The following is a 12559-nucleotide window of genomic DNA, read 5'->3' on the forward strand; positions in this document are numbered from 1 at the left end:
ATTTCCCCCAGCCCACAAGCATATTAAAATGACTGTTTTTAAGCTTTTACGGGTTGAGGTGATTTGTTACACAGAAATAGACACTAAAACAATATACAAGCAAAATAAAAGTTGCCGCTCACTCACATTTTAATAACTGTATGGAAATTGAGATTTTGACATATTCAGAAAACAGAATTTGATATTCCTTGCACAGTTTCTCAGCATGATGTCCCTCTTTCCAAAATTTTCATTATTGAAAAAGACAGTTACTAGAGGCTTTTCCTTTATTGAAATGGGAGAGAAATCACTCTTCATAATTTTAGACATCTATTTTGTTCATTGGAGTTTAAATCAATTTCTGTAATAATTGCAATGCTTATATCTTGGATTTTAAAGTAGATTTTCCCTAAATAATTCTTTGCATTACACTTCCATTTTTAAATTATGCGTCTATTAAAATGCAAATAACAATATTTTCCTTTATGAAATAGAGAAATGTAGAAATGTTCTACCACATAACAACTATTAACTTTTTTTTTCTTCACATTGTCACACAGGCTGGAGTGCAATCTCGGCTCACTGCAGCCTTGACCTCCCGGGCTCGAGCAGTCCTCCCACCTCAGCCTCGCAAATAGTTGGGACCACAGATATGCACCACCACGTCAGCCTAATTTTTGTATTTTTAGTAGAGACAGAGTGTCACCATGTTGCTCAGGCTGGTCTGCTGGGCTCAAGCAATCCGCACAACTCCACCTCCCAAAGTGCTAGGATTACAGGCTAAGCCACCGAGCCATTTTATACAATATTTTATGCATCTTTAGTTAAAGAGTTAAAAGTTTCTTTAAGATCTTTGAAATTATTTTAAAATACTGATCACTGTTGTTTTTTTCCACCAGTTTCTCAATTCTTAAATTCTATGTTCTTTTAAATAAAATTTTGACACGCTGAAATTTAATCATGTTCATATTTATATTGAATATATTTATTGTCAATTTCTTAGTTTTATAGACAAATAGATTTTATTATGGTAAATCCACATAGCATTACTTTTTTGAAAGTGCATAAAAATTAGCTCATAGATTAAGTCTTTCCTGGAATTGCATCACTTTGAAGATATTAAATAGATGCATCCTTCACCTTATTTAAATCAAATTTTCTTTCTTTTCAGCACATTAATTTCAATGTACATGAGGTATGAGAGTTTGCTTGCTTTTTAAGTTTTTTGATAAAACATCCTGGGGAGGAGGCCAGAGAAAGTGCCATGAGAGTTGGAGGGTTTACACAAAGTTCATTTACCTTTTTCATTGTTTCTTTGACTTTGAAATGTGCTCATTGATTTTCTACCTGGTGATTTCGAAGCTGTTGAGCAAACAGTAACCTGGTGTTTCTGTAAAGATGAAACTGCACTTAGCCATGCAAGTGAATGAATGTGAATGTCACATTCTGTTGAAAAGTTGTCTAAGTTTTCTCCTCAAAAGTTTGCACAACTTTTTTTGTATATTCTTGCCAAACACAAAGTTTACACAGTTGGCTGGGAAATAAAACCATAGAATATATAATACTATTAACACTATAATTTTTATATGAATATATTTATATCCTACTCAGGAAAATTATTCCTCTGTAATCTGTTTTTTTTCTCTTTGGTCTCATCTGACCTTTATTTATCAAATTGTGGATCATTAAGAAATAAATTCATTTAGACAGTTTTTATTAGCTTTTATTTATTGAGCCCTTGTTACAAGCCATGCACCACTCTGGGCACTTTACATATAGTAATCCAAAGTTTTACTATTACTTTCTTAGACAGGACCTATTGTGATCATTTTATTGCCAAAGAAACAAAGGCACAGACAGGTTACTTAAACTGTCCAAGGTCACATGTTGAGTAAGCAACAATGCCAGCCACTTATATGTAGATTATTGAAATGATACATTTACTCTAAATAAATTTCAAATTCATCCTCCATATTTGACAAGCTATTTAGCTAAAATATCTCTCCCATATTTAACAACTTTTATCAACAACTGCATTTTACTACTGTGGTGGATTTTAAAAGTTCAGCATGAAATTCAAGGCAAATTGGCCCTGCTGGCATTTCTAATCCCACTTTCCAACATTCCCCTACTCCAAAACTCCAGTTATTCCAGATTGTATAATTTTCCAACTGCTCCATGTAATTTCTTACTCTCATGACACTTTCTCTTTTACTCTATCTTCGTGGAATGTTCTTCCCCTTATCCTTGGTCACTTGTAAATATCTCTTCATTCTTTCAAATCTAGTTCAGGTGTCATTGCTTCCAGTAAACCATCCTTAAATTCTACTACCACCAAATAATTGATCAATCTTTCTACTATTTTTTTTATCTTGGGCATTATTGAAATATTATATGTTGCATTGTATTAGAATAATTTCATTATCCATTTTATCCCTACTAGCCAAAGTTTCCTTTTCAAGAAGGAGCCATGTTATTCATTTTTGTGTTCCTGGCTGTATTAGTCTGTTCCCACATTGCTGATAATGACATACCTGAGACTGGGCAATTTACAAAAGAAAAAGGTTAAATGGACTCACAGTTCCACGTGGCTGGGGAGGCCTCACAGTCATGGTGGAAGGCAAGGAGGAGCAAGTCATGTTTTACATGGATGGCAGCAGGCAAAGAGAGAGAGCTTGTGCAGGAGACCTCCTCCTTTTAAAACCATCAGATCTCATGAGACTTATTCACTATCATGAGAATCGCAAAGGAAAGACCTGCCCCCATGATTCAATTACCTTCCACCGGGTCCCTCTTACAACATGTGGGAATTGTGGGAATTACAATTCAAAATGAGATTTAGGTGGGGACACAGCCAAACAATATCACTGGCATCTAGGCTAGTATGAGATATATAATAAATGCTTGTTGAAAAAATGAATATGTAAAAATTAGGGCTTAAATCTTTAGTAAACTCTAGAAAACTTGTCAAATTTAATTAATTAAATGTAAATTTAAGATATGACATTAACACTACAGGTCGTTAATTCATTCTGTACAGAAAATAAATATTGTCTTACCAAGTAGGATAGGTTGTTTGTGTGGGGGAAGGGGGAGAATGATTGCTAGTCACAGAGTGTTTATTTCTTTTTTTTTGAGACGGAGTCTCACTTTGTCACCCAGGCTGGAGTGCAGTGGTGCTATCTCGGCTCACTGCAAGCTCCACCTCCTGGGTTCACACCATTCTCCTGCCTCAGCCTCCCGAGTAGCTGGGACTACAGGCGCCCACCACCATGCCCGGCTAATTTTTTGTATTTTTAGTAGAGATGGGGTTTCACCGTGTTAGCCAGGATGGTCTCGATCTCCTGACCTCATGATCGGCCCACTTCGGCCTCCCAAAGTGCTGGGATTACAGGCATGAGCCACCGCACCCGGCTACAGAGTGTTTATTTCTTAAACAAATAATATTATATCCAATTTTATAATGTAGTGTCATATTTACTAAGACAATTTAATCTCATGTTTTCTTTTGTCCAATTCAGAAAGGTGAAGGAAGCAAATAATTTTCCTCTTACAACAGGAAGGAGAAGAATATTAATAACTAATAACATTTGTGGCATGTTTACTACATAGCAGGTACTATACTCAAAATCAACTTATGTTAATAGCTACTTTCATTATCTCCATTTTATGGCTGAGTTATAGGAGGTGCAGAGAAATTAAATGAACTATAAGTGTTACTAATTTGAAAGCAGGTCTGTCTGATATAAATGATAAAAATATCTGAAAAAGGGTCAAGAAGCCTGTAATACGCTGATGCTGTTCCTCTGTGAGGAACTAGAGCCACAGGGATCTCAGGGACCATCTTTCTCATAGCACAAAATGCTGTGCTGTATCTTCCAAAATGTACCTTTCCTGTCAGCATTCTCATTGCTTACTTCTCCATGTCTGGGAACCTCCAGTCTCTGAGAAGCCCATGGCCTTTTGCAAGTGTACCAGATTATAATATATTATTTACTAAACCTGAAATGAATAAGCAGACTTCATTGTAGACACTCTGGACTATGCATTTGCTATCTTTTTCTTGTCTACTTACAAAAGTAATATATACTCATTGTAGAAAATAGAAACTAACACTAAAGAAAAACATCATTAATAATCCTATAAGCCAAATCTAAACCCTGCTACAATTTTGGTGAATAAGAAAGAGTGGGGAGGGGGTAAATTTTTTTAAACAGGAAATGAGGAAAATTCTATATACATTCTTTGGAAACTTGATTTTTAATTTATTATGTCCAAGTATATTTGCTCATGTTGTTGAATAAATTTCCAATTGCTTCAGTACATTCATAATTGCTAATATTTCTCAAGAATTTCTTTATCTGCTTGGCAATGTACTTTATAGTAGTACTTCTCACATATCAGTCTACCAGGACTACTTAAGGACCTATTGTGTTAATGTGGGTGAGAAAATGAAAGTCTGAATAGGATACTTTTACTGAGAATATTGAGAAATAGACCTGCTTGAATTTAGGAGTTAAGAGTGGCATTGTTGATGATGAACAAATCAAATAGTTGATTTGTCTGACGGGAGTGAAGAAAAGAGAGTAGTGAAGAAAAGGTGTCTTCCAAGGTGTCTGGCTATAGCAACTGAATGCATGGTAGTTCCATGCACTCTGAGGAGAGAATACTGGGAGAGGGCCAGACTTGGTAAGAACAAAGAGGAAGCTAGGTTTTGTGGAGCATGAAGCTTATGCAATTTGCCCACCTTATTTAAACCATGTGACTATGAACATATTGCTACATTACTTCCATGACATTGGAGGAAACCTGTGCTTATGAGGCTTATGTTTGAGCCTTATTGGTTAAATCTCCCACTTGATATGGAGTTCACTTTTGGACCTGTTGAATGCAAGGGACATCCAAATAGAGTTGTGCAATAAGCAGTTCAAAAATACAGAGATGTCTTATTTACAATTGCAAGCACAATGCTTGGCATGAAATAGCACACAGTGCTTAAGAATAGAATAAAGTAATTGTCTCAATACTGTCTTCTCATGATTAAGGAGGATGAATGGAAGCAGATTGCCTAGAAACAACTCATTCCATACTTCTGGACTGGGAAGAAATAAATGGTAATGAACAATTGAATGTTACCTCACAGAAAAGTACAAATGATAGCTGTTGCCCTGCCGAAGGGGGACATGTTGCCAGCCATGACAAAACAAGGCTCCAGCGTCACTCTTACTCCTCCAAAGGATGACTGGAGAACATTTACATTCATCCTGGTTTATGATTCCTCCATCTCTTCAGCCTTCAAATTAATTTACCAGAAAAACTAAAGAGTACTATAGTGGACCTTAAAAGTATTTTTCTCCTTTTAAAAAAATACCGAAGAATCAATATTTCTCTTGAGATTATGATGAGCCTTATAGCTTACTGGCTTTAGGTATATTAATTACTAGAAGAACATCTTGAAAGTTTACCTCTCTAATGCTCTACTTCTGAACAATTTGTTGTTAACTGTTATCTGCGAGGGAAAATAGACATGGTTTACATAGTGCCAAAAATGTGTCAGGCTCAATGAGAGACCAGATGTACTGCCAATTTGAAGATGGAGAATTCCAGACTCAGTTTCATTTCATCACCCAAGGGCATATACTAGTAAACAAGAACAGGAATTCAAAAGCAGGTTGTTATTATTGCCCTTGCTTATTCTCAAAGCCCATGCTCTTTCTAGTATATGAGGCTGCCTCAGCTCAAGATTTTAAGATTATTACTAATAAGAAATATTTATTGAGGAAAATGCTGGGAAAGGCTACCAACAGTGAAGAGTTTATTATCTCTAGATGTTGCCTAAGGGAGCCAGCAATAGGTCCTTCCCCAACTGTGTGGGCAGGTGAAGGACATGTCTACCACCCTATGCTCTGGGACTTGAGATGGTTGGAAGAAAGTCAGCAGTCATTTTTCTCCCTCCAAACTTTACCCTAACAAAGTTCTGATCCCAGAAGGGAAAGGATTGGCACTTTGACACACCATTTTTAGAGATTGCTAAAGATTAACAAGAACCCAATCAGAGTCACTCTGGCAGAGGTAACTAGCTGTTCACCTAAAAATTCACATTCCATCTTCCAGAAACTCTTAAGTGACAAACTGCTTAGCAAGAAACTCTATTTCCCAGTCCCACTGCAACAATATGCCATATGGGCATATGACTACTTTTTGCCTATGAAATCAGACTAGAAAGGACATGGTTTCAACGTACAGTGTATAAGAATCAGTTGGAGCATTTTCATTCTGGTTTCCTCTCACGGGTTTGATGCAGGGGACTCTGGGGGCTCTAGCAGATGACAGAACATCAAGTTAGCAGAAGCCTGAATCCCTAAATGATTATGTGGAAGAAATTCACCTAGTGGCTAGGTATGTCTATATTGCACTGTAAACTGGAACTATCGCACTATAAGCTTTTTTGGTGTTAATCACTGGTGGTTATGGCAGCTAATGTTACCCTAACTGATTCCCAGAGCCAAAAGAAACAATGAATACATCACCAATGGTAACGAGGAATAAACAGAACTGAAAGAAGCAATTATTGGCTATATTTATGCAAATAAACATTTGGCTGGATCACAGGAACCTGTGAGGGTGATATAATTCCAGGTTGAGTTCAGCTGAGGGCAAAGGCACCAGCTCAGATTAATCCTTGCTCAGTACAAACTAAAAGCAAACTGAATACTAAGCATTTTATCGCCCTTTCAAAATACTTAGCATGTGCTGTTCTCTCTGTGGACATGTCTCTGGCTACCTGAAGGCATCCAGCATGTGAAAAAACAACTCAGACCACACATTTTCCACCTATGTTCTTCGGGATGTGCTGGAGATGATATGTGAAGAGAAAGAGACTCAGCTTAAGACCCGACAATTCCGGTAACCCATCTACATACATAGTAGCCCACTTAGAATGTCATAGTGCCATTTGGTCACTCATATTTTAAATGTTTCCTCTAAGGAGTTGGCAGTAATAAATGAAGGCAAAGGTTAAAAGCAATTTCCAGACCCACCATGTCTTGATAATTCCAACTCTCGGTTGTCACTTATTGATCTAGCTGGCAGAACCAGAGTGTGCTCTTTAAACACATTTGTCCCTGTGTAATTGCTGTGCACACATTCTGTGCTCTGGAGGTATGGGATTGATACCCGTCCGTCAACTCTCTGGCAAAGAAGGAACTATAATCCCATTTCAGGGACTGAGCCTTGCCATCTTCTAAGGGTTCAAATGTGCCTTTATAGATATTTCACTGAACTAATAGGAATGAGAAGATATTATCTCACATTTGGCAAGTTGCTATGAAGTCATAACTTAAATTAAGCACAAGGCTGATGTTCTCACCATAAGACAGTAAGTTGCTTGTCTGGTTATTTGTTAGCTGAGCAATTCTGGGAAGAGAATGAAAAACATTTTGTTGATGAGAATCTGTATTCATCAGTTTTTGTACAAGACTAAGAACTCGGCATGCTTTTACATTGGAAATTTGGTAATTAATATCAGGTATGTGGTTTCATTTCATGGTTTTAAATTGTGCAATTCTTTCAGTTGCTAAATCTGTACCTGTTCAATGAGTTTTAAAAGGAAAACTCGTGTAAAAGGAAAATATGTTTTTTGTAAAAAATTGAAATGACAGAAAAGCAAAAATTGAACAAAATCATCCTTAGTACTACTTTTATCATTTTCTAGTTTTCCAACTAGGAGTTTTCTATACATATTTATACATGATTGAGAGTGTATGTGCACAAATATATTCATTATTCTTTTTACTAAATTTTTAAAACTGGTTTCTCACTTTGCTTTATTACACTGTCTTCAAATGTGTCAGGCTTGCAAGTAACTCACTTGCAGTTTCCTCTGCCATGGCTCTTCCTCTACCCATTCTCATGCTTTGCTCCTTCACCTACTTTAATTTTTATTCAAGTTTTACTTTCTCAATACCCCTTTTCTTCCTTTATTTTTATTTCTAGATTTTCACTATGCAAAGTATTATTTACTTTACATATAGAATGTTAGCAATGGATAAATAATATTATATCATGCTTATCTATTACACTTTAGCTCACCCTCTATGCTTCTGTTTATGTTGTTTCATATTTTATTGCAAAAATTTGTTGTTAATATTTAATTGGGGCTATGAGTGAGAGATAGACTTTTTCAGTATAAAAATCAGTGAGAAAAAAGATAGAAACCTACATGTTTGGTTAAATAAAAATAAAAATTTTTATATAGCAAAAATATCAAAATCTGAAAAAAATGACAAATTTTAGAGAATGTGGCTGTATTTATTTTGAATATAGAAAAATCAGTTTGCATTTCTATGTATTCATCTTTACTTCATAGATTGCTCCATCAATATTAAGCTCAGAACAATTCCTCTCTCCTTGGAAATTTAACAAATATTTATATTTATCTCATTTCATATTTCTTATGATTTGATTTTTTTCAATTTGCCCTTAGATGCATCCGTAAATTTAATTATTTGTTAGCTTGTGTTTGTTTTTAAATTACTAACTCTTGCAGATATCGGTTGTTCCTTACCTGTATCAAACTAATTCCCTCTTCCTCTGTTAACAGCATCCTGATTTTCCATTGGGGAGTAAGTCAACCTTCCTTGGATAGTAGCATAGGGACCTTTATTGTACATAAGTAACCTGGACTTGGACAGAGTCAATGAATTTATCCACGAATGGGTATCTGCCTTCAGTCCAGTGAAAATCAACCAGGTACTTCTGTACAGCCCGAGGGGGAATATGTCCTTTTCTCTGCCTGAAGTTGCCCATGGTCATGTTTGTGATTATACGGGGTAAACTGAGAATAAAATAATCACATACAAAAGAAGAATCAAAAAAATGAGATATGATCTTGATAACCTAATTTAAACTCTAAGTAATTCTCATAACAGGATTTAGTGAACATTCTAACCCTTTTCCAACAACCCATCCTGCTACATGCCTTTATCATAAAATAGCTTCATATATAAAAGCGTCATGTTAAAGTTAGTTTTACTTTTCCACTTATATAGATTTAAATATATTTTATTGAATTATTAAAACTTTACAAAGTTGGGGCTAATCCTAGCTCTTGTTTATACAATTTTAAAAATGATATTTGTTTATTTTCCAAAGAACTTTAAGAATTATAAATTACCCATTATAATGTTAATTTCAATTGTGTTAAATTTAGAATTTTTTTATTATACTTTAAGTTCTAGGGTACATGTGCACAACATACAGGTTTGCTATATATGTATACATGCACCATGTTGGTGTGCTGCACCCATTAACTCGTCATTTACATTAGGTATATCTCCTAATGCTATCCCTCCTCTCTCTCCCCACCCCATGACAGGCCCCAGTGTGTGATGTTCCCCTTCCTGTGTCCAAGTGTTCTCATTGTTCAATTCCCACCTATGAGTGAGAACATGTGGTGTTTGGTTTTTTTGCCCTTGCAATAGTTTGCTGAGAATGATGGTTTCCAGCTTCATCCATGTCCCTACAAAGGACATGAACTCATCCTTTTTCATGGCTGCATAGTATTCCATGGTGTATATGTGCCACATTTTCTTAATCCAATCTATCATTGATGGACATTTGGGTTGGTTCCAAGTCTTTGCTATTGTGAATAGTGCCGCAATAAACATACGTGTGCATGTGTCTTTATAGCAGCATGATTTATAATCCTTTGGGTATATACCCAGTAATGGGATGGCTGGGTCAAATGGTATTTCTAGTTCTAGATCCTTGAGGAATCGCCACACTGACTTCCACAATGGTTGAACTAGTTTACAGTCCCACCAACAGTGTAAAAGTGTTCCTATTTCTCCACAGCCTCTCCAGCACCTGTTGTTTCCTGACGTTTTAAGTAGGCAGGAATTTGCATTTGTTCTATCAGTCTTCTCAACATTCATTATTCATCTGTAGTTGTCAGTGAAATACTATAGGTCTTTTTAGAGAAGATGTAAACTTCCATTTAAAAGTATTTCTGAGTGTTTTATTAATAATATGAGTTTTTTCTTTCCTTATTTCTATCATTAACTGATTATTCTTGTTAAATGAGATTATTATTATTTTATGTAAAAAATTAATGTGAATATACATATGTAATATTTGATCACTCTATTAAAATCTTTTATTAGTCTGAGAGTGGCATTTGACTCATTTTCTAATTAGCATCATGGCACTAGGAGAGGAGTCACCTGTCCACACTGGCATCTTCTGATGTGGATATTATCTCGTGGACTTTGGGCTGGTCATTTTTCCTATGCTGTCACTAATGGAGATGTATGACCCAAGCTACTGCTGAACTGTAGTCATTCCTCCATACTAGCATCCCGTTAGATATACATGTTCCCATTCAACCTCTGGATATAAGTTCCATTATTCATCCTAAGACTGCATCTGTAAACCCATCCATGTACACAAAAACATCTCTATGGATAACACCGAGTCCATTTTAATGGAGCCCTTGGCAACCTTCAAGTGTTCTTTCACATCATTCAGAGGTCACAGAGATTACCTGGGGAAATGTTCAGATCTTTGCTTAGACATAACATCTCACCATTCCTACCAAAAGACTGTTCTGTCCAGTGTTAAGATAAAGGGGCAGTTCCAAGACCTTTCTCTCTTTTCTAAGATTCTATGTGAGAGTGAAAGCTTCTGCTACTTTCAGAGCCTTAAACTTCTGTGAATTCTATCACCAGCATTCTTGCATTTATTAGATGTAGAGTACAAAAATAATGGGGTCCTTCTTCAGAGCTCTGCACCACAGGCATCTCAATATCCTGATTAACCCCTCACTCCCCTTCTTCTCCAGATTTGAAAAGACTTTATGTAGCATGGTGGAGAGAAAAAAAAAATGAGTCTAAGAATTTTTTTTTGTCTTTTATGTGGACTAAAAAAGATAACTTAAAATATCAGCCTACTACCTAGGTATACAACCATCCTGCCTGAAAATGATAATATTTTACTTGTGGCCTAGCATCCTAACCCCGGAATATACAGATTCTTACAGCCTCTCAGCTGGAATCTGCTTAATCCTACTGAACTCCCGGGGGTAGGGGCAACCAGCACTGGCTGTGGCTGCCTAGTGTCTAAGCCATTTGAGTTCCTTGTGGGAGGGGCAGCAGCCAGCACTGGGACTGGCAACTGCCTAACAAGCTAAGCTCCCTGGACGGGGGAACAGCGACATCCATTTGTATAGCTCCAGGCTGCGCTTTTCTCCTTCTGGAGCCAGGGAGGCTGAATGGCTTAGTCCCAAGACTTGTCCCCACAGCCCAACACACTGGCTGTGGCAGTCTGCAACCAGAGTGCCCCTTCAGGCCTAACTCTGACCCTTCCTTCCTCAGTGGGTGGGGCTTCCCCACAGGATCTCCAATAACTCCAGCCAGAGGCTCAGGGACAGAGTTCAGATCTCCCTGGGTCTGAGCCCCTAGCGGGGAGTGGTGGCCACAGTATCTGAGGACCAGCAGACTTACCCTCTCCTCCTTGTAGTTCTGAGGAATCCAGGAAGCCCCGATGAATGGGTTTCCCCCCAGAAAAACACACAAAGGGACAAAGTGCTTCATTAAACAGGTCTTGCTCCCCGTGCCACCCAACTGGGTGAGACGCTTCAACAGGGGTTGTCAGACACCCTATTCAGCAGCAATCCTGCTGGCATCAGGTTGGTGCCCCCAAGGCCTGAGGTCCCAGAAGAAGGAGCAGGCACCCATCTTTGCTTCTCTCCAGCCTCCGTGGAGTGACATCTCCAGGCATGGGAGTGAATCAGTTGAATAGGGCCTGAACTGAACCCCCAGCAAACTGCAGAAACCCTACAGAAGGGACCTGACTATTGAAAGAAAAACAAACAAGCAGAAAGTGACAACAGCATCAACAACAACAAAAAAGGCCCCCACAGAAACCCCATCCAAGAGTCAGCAGTCTCAAAGACCAAAACTAGACAAACTCACTAAGATGAGAAAGAATCAATGAAAAAAATGCTGAAAACCCAAAAGGCCAGAGTACCTCTTCTCCAAATGATCACAATGTCTCTCCACTGGGGCAGAGAACTGGACAGAGGATCAGATGGACGAATTGACAGTAGTAGGCTTCAGAAGATGGGTAATAAAAAACTACAATTAGCTAAAGGAGCATGTTCTAACACAATGCAAAGAAGCTAAGAACCTTGATAAAAGGTTACAGGAATTGCTAATTAGAATAACCAGTTTAGAGAGGAACATAAACGACTGGATGGAGCTGAAAAACACAGCATGAGAATTTCATGAAGCATACACAAGTATCAGCAGCTGAATAGACCAAGTGGAAGAAAGGATATCAGAGTCTGAAGACCACCTTACTGAAATAAGACATGCAAATAAGAATAGAGAAAAAAGAATGAGAAGGAATAAACAAAGCCTCCAAGAAATATGGGATTTCATAACAAGACCGAACCTACGATTGGTTGGAGCACCAGAAGGAGACCAGGAGAGTGGAAACAAGCTGGAAAACACTCTTTAGGATATTACCCGGGAGAACTTCCCCAAACTACCAAGACAGGCCAATGTGCACATTCAGGAAA

At 37.5% G+C, this 12559-nt stretch overlaps 1 long non-coding RNA gene across 1 annotated transcript; it reads left to right on the forward strand.

Annotated features, from left to right (window-relative positions):
• The first annotated feature begins 6389 nt into the window (after window positions 1–6389).
• LOC105371959 (uncharacterized) lies at window positions 6390–10147 on the forward strand. Its single transcript, XR_935093.3, has 3 exons — window positions 6390–6885; window positions 7386–7507; window positions 8582–10147. It is a non-coding gene; the product is annotated as an uncharacterized LOC105371959 (long non-coding RNA).
• Window positions 10148–12559: the final 2412 nt, after the last annotated feature.

The sequence above is a fragment of the Homo sapiens genome, chromosome 18 (genome assembly GCF_000001405.40).
Source record: "Homo sapiens chromosome 18, GRCh38.p14 Primary Assembly".
Classification (NCBI taxonomy): Eukaryota; Metazoa; Chordata; class Mammalia; order Primates; family Hominidae; genus Homo; species Homo sapiens.